The sequence below is a fragment of the Homo sapiens genome, chromosome 17, assembly GCF_000001405.40.
Source record: "Homo sapiens chromosome 17, GRCh38.p14 Primary Assembly".
In the NCBI taxonomy this organism is placed as follows: Eukaryota; Metazoa; Chordata; class Mammalia; order Primates; family Hominidae; genus Homo; species Homo sapiens.
Genome location: NC_000017.11, coordinates 28,043,333 through 28,069,424, shown reverse-complemented (window position 1 = coordinate 28,069,424; position 26,092 = coordinate 28,043,333). Strand labels below are relative to the sequence as shown.

Here is a 26,092-nt window from a genome sequence, read left to right as displayed (position 1 = left end):
CAACCCAGCAATTCCATCCCTAGATATTTATCCTTAGAGAAATAAAAACTTATATCCATAAAAAGACTTATGTAAGAATAGTCTAAAACTGGAAGGAACAGAAGGATGGATAAACAAACTGTGCTATATTCATACACTGACATATGATTCAGTAATAAAGAGAAAAAAACACTGATATGTGCAAGCAACATAGATGAATTGCAAAAACATTATGTAGAGTGAAAGAAGCCTCGCACATAAGAGTACATACATATTGTAAGATTCTATCTATATAAAATCTAAGAACAAGCAAAACTAATCAAAGATGACAGAAACCAAAAAAGTGGCTGCCTAGGGCAGGGGGAGGGGGATGCATGGTAGAATTTACTTGAGTGAACTTTCTGGGGTGATAAAATGTTCTGTATCTTGATTGGGTGGTACTTACTATAGTAGAAACACATCAAAAAAGGCTAGGTGTGTGGCTTACACCTGTAATTCCAGCACATTGGGAGGCTGAGGCGTGAGGATCGCTTGAGCCCAGGAGTTCAAGACCAGCTTGGGCAACATAGTGAGATCCCATCTCTATAAAAATTTTAAAAATTAGCCTGGTGTGGTGGCACATGCCTATAGTCCCAGCTACTCTGAAGGCTGCAGCAGGGGATCACTTGAACTCACAAGTTTGAGGTTACAGTGAGCTATGATCATGCCATTGCATTCTAGCTTGGGCAACAGAAAGAGATCTTGTCTCTAAAAAATAGAAAAAATTTTAAAAATTAAAATACAATTAGCAAACTTTAGTGGACATATACAAAACATTAATCAACTGCAGAATAAATATACGTTTTAAAAACAAAAGGATATTTATAAATAGTGATCACATACAAGGCCACAAGGTAAATCTCAACAAATTCCCCCCCAAAATGGTATCAATCACGCAAACCACATATTCTAATCACAACAAAATTATATCACAAGATAGTAACCTAAAAACAAATATCATTTTTGAAAATTAAAAACAGGATCATCTGAAGATATTAAGTTCCCTTGATTGTTCAGTCAGTTCCAAATACAACTCCTTATTTTACTCTTTCCCCCTTCTGACTACTGCACTTGACTAAAAAGAAAAAAAGAAAATTAAAAACACACTTCTAAGCAATCTATAGGTTAAAGAAGAAATGAGACACACAACTATGGCCAATTAATTTTATGAGAAAAGTATAAAGGCAAATCAATGGAGAAAGGACAAACTTTTCAACAAATGGTATTGGAACAATCGAACATCCATATTTTTTTTTTTTTTTTTTTGAGACGGAGTCTCGCTCTGTGGCCCAGGCTGGAGTGTGGTGGCTCCCTCTCGGCTTACTGCAACCTCCACCTCTCGGCTTCAAGCAATTCTCCTACCTCAGCCTCCTGAGTAGCTGGGATTACAGGCGTGCACCACCATGCCCTGCTAATTTTTGTATTTTTAGTAGAGGTGGGGTTTCACCATGTTGGCCAGGCTGGTCTCAAACTCTTGACCTCAGGTGATTCACCTGCCATGGCCTCCCAAAGTGCTGGGATTATAGGTGTGAGCCACCATGCCCAGACCATATATATATATATATATATTTTAAGAAGGTCTACCTACAGTTTGGATCACAATACCGAGACACAATTTTGAACGCCATAATCCTCAGTGTTGAAATCCCAAAAGAGCAAAATCCCCAAAGTCTCAATCTCTAACATCTAAGATCCCAAAAGTCACCATCACAGGATAGTTGCATCATGTTTGACCAGATCTTATGAACTATCTCCATGCTAACTGCCCAAATCTATCCCTAATGCCAGTTTTTTTATATATTGAATTTTTTTAGTTTTTTCTTTTAAAAATTTTTTTCCACTACTTTTAATTGTCAGCCTTTTTTTTTTTTTAAACAATTCTCTGTGCCATGTATTTAATCTTCACATCATTTCCAATACTGGAGATATAAATTGCATAGAGACTGTTAGAGAGTTCTAATTTGTTTTATGCATGTTTTGCAAATTTGACTCCATGAAAGTGCATTAGAATGCTGACTTTGTGTGCAAGCATTGTCCATGTACATAAAAATTGTTAAAACTTCAATAAATGAATAGATGTTCTTTTTGTAAAAAACATAAAAATAAAAATAAAGGTCTACCTAAACTTCACATCTAGTACAAAAACTAACCCAAACATGAAATACAGACTTCAGTGTAAACCATTAAACTATACAACTTTTAGAAGAAAACGCAGAATTCTTCATGACCTGGGTCAGGCAAAGAGTTTCTAGATTTAACACCAAAAGTTATGATCTGAAAAGAAAAAGTGGATCAACTGGACTTCACCAAAATTAAAATGTTTGTATTGCAAAAGACACTCAGGAGAATTTTTTTAAAAAGGAACTACAGACTGGGAGAAAATATTTGCAAATCACGTATCTGAAAGAGGATTTATATCCGGAATATGTAAAGATCATTCAAAACCTACTATTAAGAAAGCCACCCAATTAAAATATGGGCAAAGGCTTGAATAGATACTTTACAAAAAAGGATACAGAGACAGCTAATAAGCACTTGAAAAGATGCTCAACATCTTGAGTTATTAGGGAAATGCAAAACCACTATAAACAGTATTACATACCTATTAAAATGGCTAAAATTAGGAAGAAAAAATTGGATATCACCAAATGCTCACAAGCAACTGGAACTTTTATACCTTGTTGGTGGGAATGCAAATTGCGATTGCTTTGGAAAACAGTTTGGTAGTTTCTTTTAAGCTTGAACATATAATTTGAACCAGTCATTCCACTCCTAGGTATTTACCCAAGAGAAATGAAAGCCTATGTCCACAGAAATATTGTAAATGAATATTCATTCCAATTTTATTTGTAATAACCAAAAACTGCAAACAACCTAAATGTCCATCAACAGGTGAAGAGGGTTTTAAAGTTGTGATATATTAATACAATGAACAAGAACAAACTATTAGTACATGCAACATAAATCGTAAGGACTGAAATGTGCCCACTGGATTTGGTACTTAACTGCTAGTTAATAACAGGTCATGTATTTGTCAGAGCAGTTTGGGCTGTATGGTATATGGTATATGTAGAAATGACTGCACAGTGGACTGTGAATAAATGAAAGATGAAGAGGCAGAGACAGTGATGGACAACTACATTTTCAAGGACCTTGGCTGCGAAGGGAAAGAAAGAGGTTAGACTGGTAATCTAGAGGATGAGGGTTGAATTTAGGGATGAGGTTTCAGTAAGTTTACAGGGTAAGAGGAAAGGGAGAGGGGCAGAGGTTGAACACCTGAAAGAAGATAATAGTGGAGTAAAGCCTCTGGAAAAACTGGAAGAGAACAGGATCTGGAGACTGAAAAGTAAAGGAAAGCTACGTTGACATAACTTCGTCTGTGGGTGTAACAGGAAGTTACCCAGTTCCTGCATCCCTTGGCTTTATCTTCTCTGTGAAATAGGGGAATGAAGTCATCTGTAGAAACTGAGGAAGAGGTGGAGTAGGAACTTGAGGAAAGTGGTAGTGGTTAGAAATAGCTGTGTGAGCAGTGGAGAAATGAGCTGACTTGAGACAAGTCTAAGACTTGCTAGAGAACACTGAAGGCCCAACAAAGGTTATATACCATGAACCATGTCAAACTGCCATGAAAGTTTCTAAATATCTAGTAATGAGCCTCAAGCAAGTTATGGGATAAGGAGAAATGTTTTTATTTATCACTGCCAATTTGTAATAAAGTTTGGGTCCACACTAGGAGGAACATTCACCTAGACTACTACAACTACCTTCTCCCAGCTTCTAGACCTGTTCCTACTCCAAACCATTCTTCTTAGTATTGCCTGAGCCACCTTCTAAAAATAAATCTGATCATTTTAATCATTTAAGTCATTCAATAGCTTCCCAGATTCAGATAAAATCTCAAGGTATTAATAAAGCAAAAAGGGTCCTTCATAATCCAACCTCTTGTTCTCATCTCTTAGCGATCACATTCATCCTACATTCTAACCATAATGAACCAATTCCAGGTCCCCAAACACTGCCATCTCTTATTCACTGACTTTGTACATGAAATTCCCTCTGCTTGAGCTGCCCTTCTCCCTCATCCCCTGTCATCATCAAAATTTAACTCAAATATCACTCCCCTAATCAGGCCTACACTGCCTAGAAAAAAACTACACTGCCAACTGCAGGGGGGTACCATTCATAACATAATGTAAACATTGTCACATCAGAATTGTACAAACTGAGGCCCTTGGTATCCCATCTATATCTTCCCACAGTAACCATTCTGTACTTATCTGTATTTATATATCTTTATTGCAATTTGTTTATAAATATTCAAGTATAAGTTTCTCCCGGGTAGGAATTATGTCAAGGAAGCTTCCTTGACCTTATAATTTGGACTAGGTTAAATTAGGATTTTCTAATTAATCACTGTTTTTCTCCATAAAACAAAGATGGAAAGTGCTAAGAGATAACAATTAAAACAGCTAATATTTATTGAGTGTTGACTACAGGCAAGCCACTGTAGCATTTTATACACATTATCACATTTAATTTTCATAAGAACCTAAGATAGGTACCATTATAACCCCTATGTTATAGAAGAGAAAGCTGAGACACAAAGCAGTAAAGCAATTTGCCGAAAGGCACATGGCCAATAAAAAACAGCAGAATGTGAATCTAGGTAGACTATCTTAAAAGACTGCACATTTAAAATGATTTGTTTAAGCCAGGCCCAGTGGCATATACCTGTAGTCCCAGCTACTTGGGAGGCTGAGTCAAGAGGACTGCTTGAGCCTAGGAGTTCAAGGACAGCCTAGGCAACATAATGAGACCCCATCCCTGAAAAACTTTTTTTAAAAAATAATGTGTTAAATGTCTGTCTTACCTGCTTCATATGATATTAATTTTGTTCCCAGTCTACCCTCAGGACTCAAAGCCTAGTATACAGGCCTTCAATAAATAGTCTGCTAACTACCAGGTGCAGTGGCTCAAGCCTATATAATCCCAACACTTTGGGAAAAGAGGCAGGAGGATCACTTGAGGCCAGAAGTCTGAGAGCAGCCTGGGCAATACAGAGAGATCTCGTCTCTACACAAAATATTTTAAAATAAAAAAATTAGCCAGGCTTGGTGTTACATGCCCATAGCCCTAGTTACTCATGAGACCAAGATGGGAAGATTACTTGAGTCCAGGAGTTCAAGACAGTGAGACCTTGTCTCTTTAAAAAAAAAAAAAAAAAAAAAAAAAGTTTGCTAACTTAAAGATGACTCTAAATTCAGCTCTCTGAATACCTGTTAACTACTATGTTAGCCATCCTTCTTGACTTCCTCTGATCAGCAAATTTGATAAGCCTACTATGTTCCTGAAAAATTATCACTAAAAGTGTTGCAAACTCGTATATTTATGTTCAGTAGATTATTTTGACATCTCAAACCTGAACATTCACCCAACTACTGAACTGAAATCACAGCTATTTAAACTATTCAAAGGGCTAAAGAACAGACCCATTACTTTGGTAGGTTTTCCATAAAACATTATTTTACCTTTTGTCAAGGCTTGCAGTTTTTCAACAGGTAAATCAACACTCTTGTCTCATTTCGTTCAGTTTAATTATTCTTAGCTTCCAAATGCACTTCTAAGCCTTTCTCATTTTGTCACAATTCTTTTCTGCTAACCTCCTATTTGTCGCAAAGCTCCAGAGAATAAAGAGTGAGGAATAAGGTGTTCCATATTACTAATTGAATTTTTATGAGGGTGAGGGAATAAAACTTCTACAAGTTTGACTATATAAGCAGTATCTTTGGAGAACAGGAATTAGGAACTTTATGTAAACAGAGACAAAACATAAAAGAACTATCAGATGGTAAAATTACCTCCCCTCAGGAGAGCTAAATTTTAGTGAATACTTTTTACAAAACAGTTCAAAAAATTGATTGTTTTTTAAACCCAAACCCCGAGAAATGAGATGAGAAAATGAATAGACTGATGAAAAAAGTGTATATATATAAATCATCCTCGATTTTAAATTCTTTTTCCTCTTGGATGCCATATTAAACTATAAACTGAAGTATCCAACATTGAGAGTACTCAACAGTGTTTATTTGAGGTTAAGATGTTCTCACTGTGTTATCAGACTAACAATGTAACAAAGAGAAAAAGATAAGAAATGACTTCTTAAAACTAAAAATGTTGCCAGTCGCCATGGCTTATGCCTGTAATCCCAGCACTTTGGGAGGCCAAAGTGGGCGGAGAGCTTGATCCCAAGAGTTTGAGAACAGCCTGGACAACATAACAAAACCCCATCTCTACAAAATACAAAAAAATTAGCCAGACATGGTGGTGTACGCCTATAGTCCCAGCTACTTGGGAGGCTGAGATGGGAAGATCACCTGAGCCTGGGCAGCTTGAGGCTACAGTGAGCCACGATCGTGCCACTGCACTCCAACCTGGGCGACAGAGCTGTCTCAAAAACCAAAATAAAAAATAAAAATATCGTCAATCTGTCTTAATTTAATAATTTTTGATAAAAGTTATTTATCCCGGCAGGGTGCAGTGGCTCACGCCTGTAATCGCAACACTTTGGGAGGCTGAGGTGGGTGGATCACTTCAGGTCAGGAGTTTGAGACCAGCCTGGCCAACATGGTGAAACCCCATCTCTACTAAAAACACAAAAATTAGCCGGATGTGGTGGCACACACCTGTAGTCCCAGCTATGCAGGAGGCTGAGGCAGGAGAATCGCTTGAACCCGGGAGGCAGAGGTTGCAGTGAGCTGTGACTGCACCACTGTACTACAGCCTGGGCAATAGAATGAGACTGTCTCAAAAAAGAAAAACGTTATTTATCCTATGGTTTGTTGTGTGACTCAGATTATAATACACATGGCTTTAATATTAAACTTTTCATCATTATCTGAACAGCATGCATTATAGTAAATTTTAAAAATGTTTTCTTAAAACACTGTACAATTCCAGGTTTTGATTTTTAAAAGGACTAAAAATCTATACAGTCATTTTAAGAAACTTCAGTCATCTTCAGCAGCTTCCTAAGTGTTATATGAAGTTCAATAATGGTATTTACATTAAGAAAAAGAGAACCAAATGATAGGAAATGGTCAAAAAGTTAGTATTAGACACAGAACTCTTTTGATCATGAGGGCAATAAAAGTCTGAATTAAGCCACTAAATGAGGACTATGGAGTCACCATTCTAGACATCCTCAGAAAAATGCCAACAGGCTGCTCCATCTATAACTCTCGCTCTCTCTTTCTGACACTTTAATATCCCAGTCTTATTTATGCAGTTTTAACGGGCAACACTTCCGAAACTTTCCCCACTAAAGTACATGGCATTTTTTTAAGTGTCAGAAGGCACCTCCAGGTCTGGAACCCCAGCTCAGGGATTAGATGGATGGAAAGTCCAGCAAGAGGAAGCAACTGCTTGAACTAAAGCTGACATGATGGCACTGTTTTCTTAAAAAAAAAAAAAATATATATATATATGTATATATATGTATATATGTATGTATATGTATATATGTATATATTATATATATGTATATGTATATATTATATATTATATATATGTATATGTATATATGTATATATTATATATGTATATGTATATATGTATATATTATATATGTATATGTATATATGTATATGTGTATATATGTATATATATATGAAATAATGATTTGAGAAATTTGTACAGAAAAACTGGAGGTAGAAATCACCAATTACTAGGGCATTAATCTAGTATACCAGACAAAATGACCTCTTTGTGTCTCCTCTATCTTCAAGTTACAAAATAAAACTTCTAAGGAAATAAAATTGCATTTCTAGTTTTAAGGAATAACAGACTCTCATTAGCCACTTTCGTATTCTGTGGTATTTAGAAGACATCCAGATACCATGAAGTGTCTTACAGCTGAGGCCTCCACAAACCATGTAATAACTTATATTACTCTCAAATTCACGTTAGAAACTCAAGTGACATTGAAATATCACACAAATTAGCTGGTGCTACTTTTGTCACTAGCACTGTTGAATCATACATAACTAAGGCAGCAGAAAAATCATCTCTGGGTTCGTTCAAGACCATTTTTCTTTTAATGTCTTTTTTTCAATTTGCTTCTAACTTTAAGGTTATAGACACCTTTTAAAAATAGCTCATAGAATTACAGAATGGTAAAACACTGAAACTGGATAAACTCGTACATCAACCTCCAACTCTCAGCAACTTGATTACTACAGGAGTCTATTTAAAACTAACTGGCCCTCAGGAGGCTGTGGAGGATCGCTTGAGCCTGAGTTCAAGGCTGCAGTGAGCTATGATTGCACCACTGAACTCCAGCCTGGGTGTCAGAGCCAGACCCCATCTTAAGTGGTCACTGATACAGATTTTCATTTAATAAATTGTGGGTATATTTCAAAGATGACCACTCTACTACTCATAGACATTTAGGTTGCTTTCAATCTGGGAGGATGATAAATAACAGTAAATGAACATCCTTATAAATATATCTTTGTATCTAAGGTCAATGATTGCTCCAAAGAGCGTGTGCATTCAATTTTGCGAAACTGCTCTCCAATCAAGACTCCATCCATCCATGCTATCATAAAAAATTTGAGTGTGTGTGTGTTTCACTACATCTGCAACAACTAGGATTATTACTTTAAAATATCTAGCAGTTTAAAAGTGTTATCTATTTCTGCATGTTTATTAACGAAAGTGAAATCCTTTAATGTTTTTTAACAATTTGTATTTCTTCTATGTGCCCATTCTCTAGCTTTTGCCCATTCTCTGTTGGGTTCTTCAAGTGTATTTCTTGTTGATTTTAAGAGCTCTTTAGGCTGGGTGTGGTGGCTCATGCTTGTAATCCCGGCACTTTGGAAGACGGAGGCAGGAGGATCATCTGAGCTCAGGAGTTAGAGACCAGTCTGGGCAACATAGTGAAACCCTGTCTCTATTTTTAAAAAGTAAAAAAGAGAGCTCTTTTAATATTAAAGATATTAACTTTTATTTTTCACATATATTGCTAATATCCTCTCCCTAGATTTTGCTTTTTCTTTTAGGCATTTTTTTATGGTATATTTTACCAAATACACATCTTAGATGTCTTCATAGACAAATCTGATGTTCTTTTCTTGCTTTAAAGTCAATAGTGTCTTTCCCTCCAAGATTATAAAAAGTTATATTTTCTTATTTTTTGGCTTTGTTTCTTAAAATCTTTAATCCACTTGGACTTCATTTTTGTATATAATGAATATAAACTTTATTCTTCCCCACTGCTTGCTAAGTATCCCAACAAAATAAACCAGTGTGCTGGGACTGGTGCATGCTGCTCATGACAGTTACATTTTTCTGGAATTTTGTAAGCTGACTGTGAAACATAACCATAAAAAACTATGTTATATAAACTTAGAATAAAATAAATCATATTTAAAACAAAGGTAACAAATACTTAGGAATCATCACTCCCTAGTTATTTTATTATGATTTATGCTCTTAAGGTTATCTAACACCTATTTTATCTGTATGATGAAAATACCATATAAGGGCGTGCTAGTGCATATCTTTCTCCAATTCAGCATTTAGTGACTTCACATTAGTGGTTTGAAATTGGCCATTATAGTATTTACACCACAGAGATCAGCAAACCCTAAACTACAGCTTTTTTATTTTTCAGAGAGCCTGTTGTTAAACATATGCCACCATACCACTGGAATAAACCATTCTTTGTTCACTAATTTGAAAAAGGATCTCTAGTATACACTAAATTGCCATTTATTCATACGTTTATAAAACAGAATAAAGAGCTTAGAATTGAACTTTTTTTTCTACTCTAGCATCGCAGACTACTTTGGTATGTTTTGATATATTAGATAAGACTTTGGACACAGTTTCTATTAACTGGATCTCTATTTTTCTAACATAGATCACAGTACTGCAAAGAAAAGGGTATTTCCCTAAACAGTTCAATAGCATTCTTAACTTTATGTAGATTATAGAAAACAGTATAAATAAAGGACTATTTCTTTTCAAAATAAAGGACTATTTCTGGACATAGTTGGTTACCATATACTATTTTTAGATTAGAGCTCTCACTCTTAAAAAAAAATAAAAAATCCAAACATAAGAAAACAAAACCAATACCATCGGGTTGGGTCTAAATAATAATAATAATAAATAATAACAAGTGTCCTCTCATAAAAATTCCGCCAGTGTGTGAAGAAATCGGGATCTTTTAATACATAATGGCAAGAACCAACTATAGTACTTTATTTTTTTTTTTTTGAGACAGGATCTGGCTCTGTTGACCAAGCTAGAGTACAGTGGCACAATCTCAGCTCACTGCAACCTCTGCCTCCTGGCCTCAAGCCATGCTCCCACCTCAGCCTCCCAAGTAGCTGGGACTACAGGCACACTCCACCATGTCCAGCTAATTTTTGTATTTTCAGTAGAGACGGGGTTTTGTCATGTTGCCCAGGCTGGTCTTGATCTCGTGAGCTCAAGCAATCCACCTGCCTTGGCCTCCCAAAGTGCTGGGATTACAGGTGTAAGCCATGGCGCCTGGCTGCTGACGGTACTCTTCTTTCAGAGTCACCATCACATACAAACTCAGCATTGGAAACTTTCTTCCTTTTTTACATAGAGATGGGTCTTGCTATGTCACCCAGGCTAGATGCAGTGGTTATTCACAGGAGCAATCATTGCATACTAAAATCCCAAACACCTGGGCTCAAAAGCGCCTCCTGCCATAGCCTCCTAAGTAGGCTGAGTAGCTGAGAATACACACATGGGCCACCATGCCCAGCCTAGAAGCTTTCAATTCAGCAACCAACAGGCACCCATCATGGGACCAGGCTAGGCTCTGAAGAAGCAACTAAGACATGACCCGAATCTTCGAAACTCTCATCATTTTTAGTGGATCGGTGGGTAGAGAACATGTCACAAGTGGTTATAAGCACTTACATTAGCATTGAAAGAAACAGATTGTCTTCAAGAATGAGTATCTACTTTAAGAGGAAAAGAAAATCAGGGTACAAAAACTAGTTATTTAAAGTTTGCCCACCTACAGAGACAAGCTGATAGATGTTGATAACTAGACCTTCAGCACCTATACCAGTTAAACATTACGGTGTCCCTATTTAATGTCTTTCCTGCTGAGGTACTTTAAGTCAGTGATTTATTTGAAGATACTGATATCAGCTGCATCAAGAAAACCAGTAACTGTTGCCTATGTACTTCCTTAACTGTCACAAGCCATTTAGATTTGCACTCCAGCTACCTCATTCTAGGTGTTTACATTACGAAACTATGTAGTGAAATAGCTGGGTTGACTCAACAGAACCACCCTTTTTGCATCTAAACTGAAAGACCTCACTTTTAAAGCCTTGCTGTCATTGGATTTCTTGTAAACATAGTATCTTATATTGTAGCCTAGGCAGCAAACACAGCAGTTGCCCTTTTCACACATACAGTTGACACAGTGATGATTTCAGCCTTTTCCAATCATTAACTCATATTTTAGATTTAAAAATCTATTTCTCAAGGCTTTGTACTATATATAGGGGAAATAATCATTACCCTTGGGGAAACAATGGCTCATTTACTGAAAATGAGTTTAACAAAGGAATTATTTGGTACTGAAAAATACAGAGCAGTGACACAAATCATAGCATCATCAGCTCATATGACTGCATTAGGGTAATTTACTTTAAAAAAAGCTACAATAACTTAAAATTTAACTTCAACAATAAAATCATGTCCTCTGTCACAGAATTGTGAAACCAGATCTTACACTATTTTGAAAATGTTCCCTTAAGTCTCAACCTGAGATAAAAACCACAACAACAAAAAAAAGTTTGTAGAATGGAATATTTCTATACTGCCTGAAGCTCAGTTTTGACTGGTACATGTTTGATTTACACATTTGATTTACACTGAATTTTGTTTTAATTATTAAGAGAATGAATAGCATTCCAAAATAGTCACAAGCTTTAAAACTTCGAGTTCCTTCTCTAGTTGGAGAGCTTACAAAATTCATTACATGGAACAGTGAGTTGATGCAGTGACCACAAATTTCTTAACACTGTATAAGTCTTAAATTAATCATAACCCAACCTCCGCAAATTCTGTAGAAATAGCCTCAAAGTAGGTAATGCAGTTGGGCGTGGTGGCTCACGCCTGTAATCCCACCACTTTGGGAGGCCGAGGCGGGTGGATCACCTGACATCAGGAGTTCGAGACCAGGCTGACCAACATGGAGAAACCCCCTCTCTACTAAAAATACAAAAATTAGCCGGGCGTGGTGGTGCATGCCTGTAATCCCAGCTACTCAGGAGGCTGAGGCAGGAGAATCGCTTGAACCCGGGAGGCGGAGGTTGCAGTGAGCCAAGATCGCGCCATTGCACTCCAGCCTGGGCAACAAGGGCAAAACTTCATCTCAAAAAAAAAAAAAAAAAAAAAAAAGGTAGGTAATGCAGAAGTCACAAAATGTTAATTGAGAAGAAATCTAGGAGTGCAGTTTCTGGATATATCATACAATTCTTTCAAATTTCCTGAGGTTTAAAACTTTTCAAAAAATAGGTAGGGGAATGATATGCTCAAAATAAATATACAACTTAGTTACATTGGATATATCATACAATTCTTTCAAATTTCCTGAGGTTTAAAAGTTTTCAAAAAATAGGTGGAAGAATGATATGCTCAAAATAGATATACAACTTAGTTACATATAACATGAAAAGACTGAGTTGTTCTTCACCAAAAATCTTGTAGTCTGTGACATTTAATCAGAAAACATTTAATCAGAGTCACTGGCCCACACAAAATAACCAACAGATTAATCTAAATATTCCATGGTTTTTCTCAGATGCACGTTCCTGGTTTCATTTATATAGAGTTTTCATTTTTTATTTGTTTTGTTTTTGTAAGAACACTTCCTCCATTTTCAATAGGCATTTAGTTGGACAGGTATTACTGGTAAAGCAGCAAAACAGCAAAAACTCTGGCTCAGCCCCCAACCAGCTGTGCAACGTTGAACAAATCTCTTAGCTTCTCTGGGTCTCAATTTTCCCACTTATAAAATGAGGCAGCTAGACTAGACGCATTCTAAAGTATCTTCCAACTCTCTAGTTTCTTTGAGGCAGAGCTCTAGGCTTGTGAGAATGAAAAAGCCCTCAAAACAAATGACTGAAATCTCATTCTGCAATGTTAGTGAAACAAACAGGATACAAAATTGTAAATACAGTGTGATCATGATCCCAACTCTAAATAATACTACAAACACACCCACGCATACCAGGTCAAAGTCTTGTAAACAATACACCAAAATGCTATCAGTGGTTATCTCTGAGTTGTAGGTTACAAACAACTGTTTTTCCTTTCAGCTCTTCTGCGTTTTTCAAGGGTCCTACAATAAACATACTATTACTCTGATAATAAGGAGGAGGGTGAAAAACAAAGAAAAAAACCTTCCTTTTATGTGCTAAAGAAAATTTTACATTTGGAAAGCATTCTAGAATTTGAATGAATTTTTCAAAAACAGTTGGAGTTAATCAGAAAAAAATCTCTAGTGAAGTCACATACCTGATACCTGTCAACCATCACACAAAAGCTGTTTATTTTCCCTAAATTAGTAAGTTTTCATGAGGTACTATTTTTTTCACTCATACTGAAACCAGTAATAATAATTGTGATAGCTAACATTTACATAATGCCAAACATAGCTCTAAGACTTTAAATATATAATAATTCATTTAATCCTCACAACAGCCAGACACAGTGGCTCATGTCTATAATCCCAGCTACTTGGGAGGCTGAGGTGGGAGAACTGCTTGAGGACAAGAGTTTGAGACCAGCCTGGACAACATGGCAAGACTCCCAGGACCACCACCTCTTAAAAAATAAAAAAACAGCTGGGTGTAGTGGGTTACACCTACAGTCCCAGCTACTCAGGAGGCTGAGGTGGGAGGATCACTTGAGCCCAGGAGTTCAAGGCACCACTATACTAAAAAAAAAAAATCCAACCTGGCAAGGTGGCTCATGCCTGTAATCCCAGCACTTCGGGAGCCCGAGGTGGGCAAATCATGAGGTCAAGAGATTGAGACCATCCTGGCCAACATGGTGAAACTCCGTCTCTACTAAAAATATAAGAATTAGCTGGGAGTGGTGGCGTGTGCGTGTAGTCCCAGCTACTCGGGAAGATGAGGCAGAAGAATTGCTTGAACCCGAGAGGCAGAGGCTGCAGTGAGCCAAGATCACGCCACTGCACTCCAGCCTGGTGACAGAGCGAGAATCCGTCTCAAAAAAAAAAAAAAAAGAAAAAAAAATCCCCACAACAACCCTACAATTACTGGAATACTATTACTATCTCCGCTGTATACATGAAGACCATGAGGTACATAGAGATAAAATAATTTACCCACAGATAATGAGGGGCAGAGCTAGGATTTAAAGAGAGTTATCCTCTTAAATAGCTGGGACTGAAAGTGTGTGCCACTACACCCAGCTAATTTTTATTTTTTATTTTCTGTAGAGATGAGCTCTTGCTACAAAGCCCAGGGCTCAAGCAATCCTCTGGTCTCAGCCTCCCAAATGCTGGAGTAACAGGCATGAGCCAATGCGCCCAGCCTTGACTACTAAATCATACTATCCCTTTAAATGTTAAATGTTCTCCTCAGGTCATTCTTTAACTGCTTTTGTTCTAAAAGTTCCTGTAAATTATTTTTCTTTAAACTGAAACAAGACTGGCCCAACTTTTACTAGCTTAAAATTATGATTCTTTTCCAAATCATTATTTCAAAGCTATAAGGAGTATAATTTAATCCCTGTATATATCACTAAGTGAATATTATAACATCTGAGAAATTAAGTAACATTAATTATTAAGTTTAATATTGAAAGTCTTAATAAAGAAAGGTGCTTTGTTGGTCGACATTATTTGTCCTCATAAATCTTCTGCAAAGAATCCCTATAACCAACTGTTGCACCTTTCAAAAATTTCAATTTTATTAAAATGTTTTAAACAGTGTTATAATTAATTAGCTTGTGTTTTTAAAAGAATGCCTGTCAATATTTACTTTGAACGCTGGCTATGGTATACACCCAGTTAACTTCAGGATAACCCCAATTACTGTAACCTGCAGAACCTGGGAAAATGAACACAGAGGAAGCCAATCAATTAAACATGGTTGAAGATGCTCACATAATTCTCTGAGGCAATTCAAACCCAAACCAAGCCCCTTCTTCTGCACAATAACCACATTACTTGCCAATTTTTATAGCTTCTGGATTACTTTTAATAAAGCTCAAATTTCCTCCGCATCTGTATTACTAAATTTCCAGCTCTATTGAAGTAAATATAGAAATCAAGTTTCCTATTTTAAAAAATTAGAAAAGAGAGGGAAGTGGAGAAGAAAGTGGGGAAAAACCCTCTGCACCAGGCTGCATGTTAATTTAGATGTGCAATGAGACAATCACCTGATAATTGTACCCTTTGGGTACTTTTGTACTGGTAAGATAATACAGTGAAATAAAGTCACCTGGCTTATTTCAATTAACTTACACAATTTGCAAATCTGCAACTCTCTGCCATGGTACATTAAGAAAATTAGCATGTAAGAAAAATCACCTGCTTATGTAAATTGACGGATCATTTTTATCCATGCAGACAGGAAGAAAAGCTGCAATCTGGGTCAAATGACTAATTTTATCTATTTGTTCAAATGTCTCTTTTCACCTTTTTTCTGTAGCTCAGAGCAAGAATTTTAGGTCAAAGAATGGATAAACAAAAAGTTTCTGTGTTGTCCATTCCCCTGTAAGAAGTCTGCTGCCTGACACTACTGAGCTCTATACTACTTAAATTGAAAACAAGACTGAGAACCTTATCCAGATAACAAAACCACAATACGGAGAGGATAAAAAGAGAAATCAATAGGAGATATCTGCTCTAACTGGGAAGGAAAGCAAACATGGCAACGATCAGGTACCAAATTTACCTTCTGCTACTTTAGGCAAACAAAGCTTCAGAAAAGAAAAGGAAAAATGCCTCCAAATAACTCAGGACAGACAGGACTTCTCTATAGAGATCATTATTCCAGTTTGTTCCATAAATATACCCACTCAAGTTCTTCTGAGTCTGACACAAGTCAGACAAATGCAGTATCTTGGTCATTAATGACTGCATTCCTGGCATTTACTGCTGGTATTCATCCCTCCCATTTAAAACTGACTCCATCTCCAGGTCCAGAAGTGGATCTGATTGCTCCAAAAGTAATCTTACCTTCATTGACAGTGACTGGTTCAGAAATGAGTATGTAATCCAACAAAAGCCAAAGAGAGGCCAGGTGCGGTGGCTCAGGCCTGTAATCCCAGCACTTTGGGAGGTCAAGGTGGGCAAACTGCTTGAGCCCAGGAGTTTGAGACTAGCCTGGGCAACAAAGTGAGACCCCATCTCCACAAAAAAATAAAAAAAATAGCCAGGTGTGGTGACAGAGCAAGACTGTCTCAAAAAAAAAAAAAAAAAAACACCAGAGATCAATATGCTGGTGCTGGTCAGTAGCCATGTGTGGCTACAGAACACTTAAAATGTGGTTAGACCAAACTGAGACATATTCTAAGCATGAAGATACATAGTGATTTTGCAGACTCAGTATGAAAAAAAAGTAATATAGATCATTAATAATTTTTATAGTGAATACATGTTGAAATGACAATATTTTGGATATAGAGTTAAAATACATTACTAAAATTAATGTCACCTGTTTCTTTTCAGTTTTTTACTGTGGCTACTAGAAAATTTAAGATTGCATACTTTCACTATGTATTTACTGGATAGCACTGCTGGTTTGCTGAGGGTGTCTGCAAAAATGCTCCCTTCCTCTTGGACAAGAGCTTTAGGAAGTCACTCTCCCTCTTTGGGCACTGTAAGCCCTAAACTACTACAGCCTGAAAGCTGTGTCAAAGCTCATTTTCTGGGAGGCCCACATGCAAACTAGTAACTCTCTTATCCAAATTCAGAATTTAAAAGAGACTCCTGGAAAGAAATTTGTTTTAAAGAAACTTGCAAATTAATGTAAGCACTGGCTCCCAAATCATCTTACCTGATTACTCACACACAAAAGATGACAAAATACTGAACATTAAATTTTATTTAAAAATTTAAAAATCACTCAAAATATTGTAAGAAAACTATTGTAAGACTTATAAGAAACTAAGCAAGTTTTTAAAGTCTAAAACACTAAAAAGGTAAATATTATCAGGAAAATAGTAGTATCAAATGGACATGTAGAAGAAATTGCTCATTTGCAAACAGGCCTGCTCTTCTCCACAGCTGAACTACATGTATAATCCTTACCAATAACTCAGTAATAGAAGAAAACAAGTCTCTTGATGAAAAAAAAATGAACATTTAAAATCTAATCCCAAATTAGAAAACTCTATAAAAGTCACCACTCTGGAACAGGGTGACATTTATCTCATTCCTCCTTTAAACAATTTTAGAAGCTATTCAACACTGTAGTCCTGAAGAGAGAAAGTTGTCTTGTGGTCACCAGCAAACTCCAACAAATATTAATATCATTTTATAATAGAATCTTAGGAAACACAGGATTTTATAAATGAGAAAACCAAGGCTCAGAAAGTTTAAATAACTTTACCAAGGTCACAGGGTTGTTGGCAGCAAGGCTAGGACCAGAACCTTGTCTCCTAACAAGTTTAGTTTAGTAATCTATTACCCCATTGTTTAAAAAAAAAAAAAAAGCCGGGCGCAGTGGCTCACAACTGTAATCCCAGCACTTTGGGAGGCCGAGGCAGGCCGATCACGAGGTCAAGAGATCGAGACCATCCTGGCCAACATGGTGAAACCCCGTCTCTACTAAAAATACAAAAATTAGGCGGGTGTGGTGCCACGTGCCTGTAATCCCAGCTACTCGGGAGGCTGAGGCAGGAGAATCCCTTGAACCTGGGAGGTGGAGGCTGCATGAGCCAAGATCATGCCACTGCACTCCAGCCTGGTGACAGCGGAAGACTCTGTCTCAAAAAAAAAAAAAAATCCTTCCCAAGGAAATGGCACCTTGAACATCAAGTTCTCTGGTTTATTAAACTAAAAACAAACAAACAAACAAACAAACAAACAAATGAGATTTGGAAGAATTGTATTAATAATTTTAAAAAATTGTAAAAAGTAATACTGAATACTTAAGACATTCTTTAGAATCAATCAAACACAATCACTCTCTCAAATGCCATCAATGATCTATTTACTATCAGGCTAAATACAATGGCCTTTTGGCCTTTTCTCCATCTTAATTTTCTGACTTTTTTTTTTTTTTTTTTGAGACAGGTTCTGACTCTGTCGCCCGGGCTGGAGTGCAGTGGTGTGATATCAGCTCACTGCAACCTCAGACTCCTGAGTAGCTGGGACTACAGGTGCGTGCCACCACACCAGGCTAATTTTTTTTTTCTGTACTTTTAGTGGAGATGAGATTTCACTATGTTGTCCAGGCTGGTCTCGAACTCTTGGGCTGAAGTGATATGCCCACCTCAGCTACCCAAAGTGCTGGGTTTACAGGTGTGAACCACCATGGCCGGCCTTCTTTGACTTTTTATCAGCACCAAAGATCACTCCCATTTTCCTAACAATCTTCTGCCATACTTAGATTGTCAATCATTGTGAACACATTTTCCTAACTGCCCTTTAGTTCTGCTTCCAGTAGCTTCTTCCACCTACAACTGAGAACATTCCCTAAGACTCAGACAGATCTCAGTTCTCTCTACTCTTCTATTTTACATATCCAAAAAAAAAAATTAAATCTGACGAAGTCTCTCTTACTTAAAAACTTTCAGTAGTTGCCATTCGCAGTTTTAACCTTTTCTCATCATTGCCCGCCTACGGAGCCTTTTTAGGCTATTTTCCTAATCATCCCCTCGTAAAATCTTAATACCACAGATATGCTATTTAACTGTTTATGTGCTATATGTCCACATATGCTTTATTAATAAAAAGCTGTTTTTAGTGCCTCAAGCATGACATTCCAACCTCTTCATGATTGAGCTCTAGCTTACACTTCCTACCACCCACTGCACTGCACATTCAGCATCTCCAGCCCTGTAGTCTCCTGCATATAGGCCCTTCCACCTAGACTGCCCTTCCCCATTGGTTGACTCTCATTCTTAAAACTCATTGAAGAATTACCTATTTTAGGAAGCATCCTGACCTTCCATAGAAATCCCTCCTCTACACGCCCTTAATGTCCAGGGACTATCTCTATTGCTGCATTTATGGCAATGAATTATAATAATCCATTTACAAATCTATTTCACCCAGTAGGTCATAATCACCTTTAATCCTTATCTCCAGCACAGTGCCTGGCAAATAGTAACATACAATAATTGAATATTGTAAGAACAAGTGAAAATAATATATATATTTTTTGAGACACAGTTTCACTCTTGTTGTCCAGGCTGGAGTGAAACGGCACGATCTTGGCTCACTGCAACCTCTGCCTCCTGCGTTCAAGTGATTATCCTGCCTCAGCCTCCCAAGTAGCTGGGATTATAGGCATGTGCCACCACACCTAGCTAATTTTGCATTTTTAGTAGAGACGGGATTTCACCATGTTGGTCAGGAGGGTCTTGAACTCCTGACCTCAGGTGAACCGCTCCTCGGCCTCCCAAAGTGCTGGGATTACAGGCGTGAGACACCATGCCTGGCCTGAAAATAATATATTCTTAAGTTTTTATTTAATGGTTTCAAATTTAGTTTCACCTCTCCACCAAGGCTGAGGACACCCTGAGAGTAGGCATGTTTCATTGTTCATATTGTTTACTTGACTGTCAACTCCTCCAAAGCAATATGGTGACTTAAACATCCCTATACCTCAGTACTAAGCACAATACAGACAACAGCAGCAGCAGCTTAATAGAGGTTCGCAAAATTATTTATAAGACTAAATATCCCCATTTGGTGCTTGCAAAAGTGCTGGTCCACAGCGAAGTGACAATAAAAATATATAGACTAGTGAGTTCCAAAGGTGTTAAAAACTTTCACTGCCTCATAGTAGATATGACTCAATTAGCCAAATTATTTCAAAACTGGGTTTAGGTAAAGAGCACCAATCATTATGAGTGGCAGACATCCCCATATATACTCCCTCTACTCACACCATTACAACTAAGAGTTAAAGTTCAATCTCAGTAGAGTTCACTTAGAAGTCATCTTTCCATAATGCCAGAGTACCAGTTTTTTCTGTTTCTGCACTAGGTACCTTACAACTACTGACTATGTCTATCATGACTTGTTATGTGCTCACTGACAGTGTTACAACTGTTGCCTCAGACACTCTGTTACTTCCAAGCAATATCAGGATCACACTGACAAGCTATTTTAGTTATTGTTGACCTGTATTAGATGGCCCAATCAACAAATAATTCACTGGAGTAGCACAGAGGCACAGGGACTCAGAATTAAAACCCAAAGAGACGCATAATTAAAGAGCTTCTAACAGCTTCTGTCCATTTATTGGTTGGATGACAAATGAAAAAGTTTCTTTGGCCTTGACAATCTCCATCAAAGAAACCAAATAAGCATGTTAAGGAAACATACAGTATATGAACAGTTAATTCTTGTATTGCTTGGACATCAATAAATCTAATAAAAACGACCAAGAATAGTCACTCAGTTTTACAATATAGAAGGCAGAGAAAACTCTGACACTCCAAGTTGTGAAGACAATGAAACATTCCAGTACTCCATTAGAGGACTTTTTGTATCTACAGCTGCCTGTGCTTTGAAGGTAAAAACCCAGAATTTAAATTCAAACATATTCAGTTAATGCACTTATGCATTTTACAAATTTTTGTTCTGGTATAGCATATGAAAGGGAGCTATATCTGCCCCCATTTCTCTTTTATGACACATGCCCAGTGGTACTGATGGCTAAAAAGATGGTATTTAATGTTGAGGGATATTGTTCTAACTTGCTTGAAAGGGCAATGTTTCTGAAATGCCTTAAAAAAAAAAACTGTCTTTTTTTCTAAATTAATATTGGACAGTATAACATGAAATTTCTCCCCAAGAATAAAACAAGTTTATTTTTTGTGCTGTGGTTTTTTGAACATAATTTGGATAATCTTTTCAGGAGTCTAAGTACAAAATGACTTGCAACGTTATAGGCTATGGAGTTTCAACCACCAAGAAGTGGGTGCAGAATCATCAGATTGTTACTTTTATTCTCTACTCTTTATCTACTTTATGATCATGAACCTGTAATTTCCAAAAGTAAGTTCGTTTGTAGTTAAAATTAACAATACAGATTTCCACATTTCTAGTTTCATACGGATGCTTTGTTATGTCTAGAAGAGCAACCGTTTCCTTTTTATGGTGCAGGCTCTGCTTCTTCAAAGCTCTTTTCACAAAGCAGAGCCCCCAAAGAATCCAGCTGTGGCTGTTAATCTCGGCTGATAGTGGAGAAACTTCTCAGTACTACAGATTCTCAACCTGTAAAACACAGTTAATAACAAAATACCCTTTAGTATACTACTCTTTCTGATGCAACTTACTCCAGGATTTTCCCCAAACATATCCCAAAAGCATTCTGCATTTTTCCAAATTAGTTTGTTATGTGGAGTAAGAGGACCAGACAAAACATAAGAAAAAAAGATGCCTCTCATGTTCACAAGATGAGCAAGCTAGACAATCTCTACCATGCACAAGGGCTTATACTGAGTAATTTTTTTGTTAAATCACTATATTTCTCCCACCTCACTGGGATCTTTAGCAATTCACACTTTTTCATCCAAACATAAGCAAAGTGAATCTCTACTTCGACAATAAGGATGTCTTTCATTTGTTACATTCTGAAAAGAAAAAATTAATTTCCCAGTATATAAATCCATAATACTTTCTAAAACAGTGCAGATGATCTGACTAAAACACCTACAAAGTCCATACAAATGTGTATTATTTTTATTTGTTTTTAATTAGTTGACAGGACAGCACAGAGTATTTTCCCCTTGGCTTTAAATTCAACCATTTTCAAATCTCCCTGACATACAGTACAACTGAGGGGACACGCTACGTTATTTAGAGTCATGCCTCCAAAAATAGTCTGCATGCTGATTTCACCTGATAAATCTGACAATCTATGAAGACACTTCCATGCACATTAACACAACAGCTTGATTTTTCTACCAACAATAACTACAATAAAAACAACTAACATTTATTGATGCTTACTGTGTGCTAGACAGTGTAATCATTGGTTTACAAGAATTACCTCACTTAATCTTCACATCAATCCTGAGATAAGTACTATTATTATCCCCATTTTATAGATGAGGAACAGAGAAGTCAAATAATTTATCGAGATCACAGAGCTAGTAACTATCACTACAGTTTTGAAAGACAGATAAAAGTAACCTGCTGAAGTTATTAGAATAATAAAATTCAAAGACCTCCAACATTACTTGGAGTACACAAAGGCAACAGAGCAAGTGAATCCCAGGATTTTTGATCTTTTAATTAATCAGGCAAGTCACAAACCAAAATGCTAATTTTATAAAAAAGTCTTTTCCCAGACTCACTTTTACCAAGGTGGCAATATGTGCCATTAATTCCATCTCTGATATGTTAAGTTGCCAATGTCAAAAACGGTCTAGGCACAGCGATCCTCAAACCACTCTCATGCGGTCAACTTCCTCCATCTCTCAAAATTATGAGCCCCTGAAACTCTTTGTCCCAAAGTTGTTACATCTTTAACCACAGCATTTTCCTCTGGCAAATGTGAACTGCAGACAAAAAGGTAGATTTATATTACTCACCAAATGACTGAAGTTACTATTTGTGGGTTGCTTTGTGTTTTGTTTTTGCATTATGAAAATGTCCATGTGGGTGTTTGGAGGCTGTAATGTCTCAAAAAGAAGGTCAAATTGTATATGATATCTTGATAACCCATAAACAACATTCTATCAGTGGCAACAAATGTTATCTCAGGTTATCCCACAATCACATTACCAGGTAAACTGGAACTCTTACTTTGAGATAAAATACAGCAGACAGTTGTTAATGAAACCTTAATTGAACTGTCACAGCACCATCCTTACCAGCAAGCTAATGAGTAATTCACTACTTTTACACAACTGTCCAATACTGATAAGTTATTCCACTAGTTAAATTCAACAGAAAGATAAATCAAGTCAGCTAGACTAAATTGTTCAGTGATAAATCTGGTAAAATGCTGCATCACTTCTACAAATATCTCTCCTTGTCTACATGGAGAAACAACAATCTCTCTCAAAATTGCATGCCACTTTTTTAGCCATCAGTTAGTACCCCTGGGTGTATGTCCCCAAGGAAATGTGGGCAAATACAGTTTCTTGTCATATGCTATTCCAGAAGAATACTTGCAAAGTGCATTAAATGAATATATGTTTGAATTAAGTGAATCTTATAATACCCCGGTAGTTAGTTACATGGCGGTTTCAATCAAAGGATGCATCACTGGGAGAACATTTTTATGTTCCATTATAATCATTTTAGAAAAAAGTTGTTTCCAATTCATAAGGTGCTTCCTAAATTAAAAAGATACATTCTGTTTCAGTTAAAAAGTAAAAAACCTCACTAATATCTTTACCTTGGGTTTCAGAATATTAGTGCAATTCCCGGTAGTTTGGTTTTCAAATCTCTAAACAGTCTTACTTAGGTCATACAACAGTTAAATTTCAAATATAATAAGGAATTCAGACAGCAAGTCATTGACATGTAAATATAAAAATAGAAAAGCATTTGCATACTAAAACATACACCTGGAACTCTTTCCTTTTTCATACCAAATTGTATTTCACCTGTAACAGCTGATGAAAACACTCAATGCAGTTAACTAGAAAAACTTGGTTAAAAAAACAAAGACCCGAATCACGTGATAACACAGGAGGACGGCCATCCACAAGCCAAGCAGAGGGGCCTCAAAAGAAACCAAACCTGTACCTTGATATTGGATTTCTAGCCTCCAGAACTGTGAGAAATAATTTTCTGTTGTTTAAGCCAAAACAAAGAAGGACCTGACTAGATCAATTAACCAAGCAGCAAAGATGCCAAAGCACTGTGCTAGGCGCTGAGGAGAAAAGGATTACTACAGTAGACAATCCTTACCCTCAAGGGGCTTACGAATGTAGTCAGTGACACAAGACAAACCTGAAGTAAGATGGTGCACAGAGGTGTACTTTAAGTACATGAGACAAACTCCATAGGTGGTAGAGCAGTCAATCAATTAAAAACCTCTAGAATGGCTTCAAACCAAATATATGTGGGCTTTCAGATATCAAAGATTCATAGTACCCACTAGCAGAACGTTTGCTGTGTGAGATGTTTCAGCACTCCAGTTCTTTATTGCCCCCTTCCTTAAAAAAATAAATAAATAAAATAAAAACTGCTACAAGTCACATCACTTTTTGATAGAAATGTAAGTGAAAAATGCCTTTTGAATATATTCAAGAATGCTGCAACCCATTTCCCTTTCAGTATCCCTAGTTTTTAGCATTGTATGTAAGGCACTAAAAAAGAAAGTAAGCATCCAGATCTAAGAAGATCCAAACAAGTGCTAAAAGTTATTAGTAAATCAATGACAAAATTTAAACCAAGGAACAACCGTTTTCCTGTCTGTTCCATCCCCCAACCAAAGCTTGGAAATCCTCAAGAGTTAGGCAAGGATAAGTTCACAGTTAAATCTCTGAGATAGTCTGTGGAAGGGAAGAGAGGAAGGCAGGAACAGGCAGGTCCCTGAGCAGAATGACCAAGGCACCATTACCAGCTATACTCTTTTCCACCTTGAATCCCACACACCTTGAAGAAAGGACCACGCTGCAGCAGAAACTTCCTTGGGGACTAGCTGAGAAAACACTGGACTCTACTAGTTTTTTTAAAAAATGGATGAGATCACTTAGCAGCCTAGATTATCAAATCTGAAATATAAATAAGATGGCCAGTTAAAATGCATAAACAATGCACCCATCAATTTTAGCCTCAAAAACAATGACGAAAGGAGATATTTACCGGGCTAGTTCCAAAGAGTTCATTTTCCTGTGGTAATGGGCGCTTTTCTCGGGAGTAACAATTTTTGAATGCACTGAAAATATCAATTCATCTATCCAAAGTGGAATCATTAGTCCTTGGGAGAAAACCCAGTTCATTCTAGTTTTGATAGGAACAAACATATTTTATTATAAACTACTAATCTTTCTAAGGTTAGACCAAATAGACCAAAATGTTATATTTAAGAAGCCCTTAGGCTTTTACAAATATCCTAGCACTAGCAAAGGTAGGGTCATTTGTTAAAAAAGTATTATTTCCTACTACAGCAACTGACCAACAGATAACAGCAACTTAAGAGGCACTAAATGACACTAAAACATTACACTGAATGTGGGCCACTGCATAGCTAGTCTACTAACCTCATTTGTGGTACTCATGTGTGATGCTATATTTAATGCATTCTTATCAAAAGGCTACAGCTACATACTTCTCAACTGTAGCTTTATGGTTTAAAATAAACCACTCAAGCAATGATCTTAACTGGTTCAACTATGAATCCTATCTTTCTTCTGGAGATCAAGATCACAAAATAAGTGAAAAGACAGAAAGGACAGGAAAGTAGTTATGCAAAGTATATCCTAATGACAAGAGTATTATAAAGGAATTCAGTCTGGATCAGGTGCTAACACTTAATGCCACAGGGCCACTGAATCAAACACACGAGATGACCAAGGTCTTCGTAGGAATTAGTATTGCATACATTCATCTACTGATCCTGTGTTCAGTGGCTTGCTTAGGTTCTAATAGAAAAGTTTGGTAGACAGCACACTTATGTGTGTTGCTCATGAGAAGGCGCTCCACCAAAACTTGCCATGAGCCTAGACAGCCAATGCATTAGGCCTCTTTACCACATAAGTGAGGGTGGCTTCCTACAGTTGGGTTGAGAAGCTTGCTGCACCTTGGTCAACATGGAGACAACCATTAGAGATGGACTCATCCAATGACAACCAACAGAAGAAACCATGAGAGGTTGTGTTTTTCTTTGGATACTCA

At 36.9% G+C, this 26,092-nt stretch overlaps 1 protein-coding gene and 1 long non-coding RNA gene across 5 annotated transcripts in view, besides 2 other annotated features; both read right to left on the bottom strand.

Annotated features, from left to right (window-relative positions):
- NLK (nemo like kinase) overlaps nucleotides 1-26,092 on the bottom strand; it is a 163,398-nt gene that overhangs the window by 136,650 nt on the left and 656 nt on the right. The gene's annotated exons all lie outside the window — the stretch shown is intronic.
- Nucleotides 11,030-11,129: an enhancer, noted in NCBI's record as "active region_11918". NCBI's record gives its function as "activates an Ori minimal core promoter by ATAC-STARR-seq in GM12878 lymphoblastoid cells {active_cell/tissue: GM12878}" and the evidence as "EXISTENCE:reporter gene assay evidence [ECO:0000049][PMID:35858748]".
- Nucleotides 11,190-11,239: an enhancer, noted in NCBI's record as "active region_11917". NCBI's record gives its function as "activates an Ori minimal core promoter by ATAC-STARR-seq in GM12878 lymphoblastoid cells {active_cell/tissue: GM12878}" and the evidence as "EXISTENCE:reporter gene assay evidence [ECO:0000049][PMID:35858748]".
- Nucleotides 20,499-26,087, bottom strand: LOC102724517 (uncharacterized). Its single transcript, XR_001752820.2, has 2 exons — nucleotides 22,594-26,087; nucleotides 20,499-21,508 (listed from the first exon to the last, which is right to left on the bottom strand). It is a non-coding gene; the product is annotated as an uncharacterized LOC102724517 (long non-coding RNA).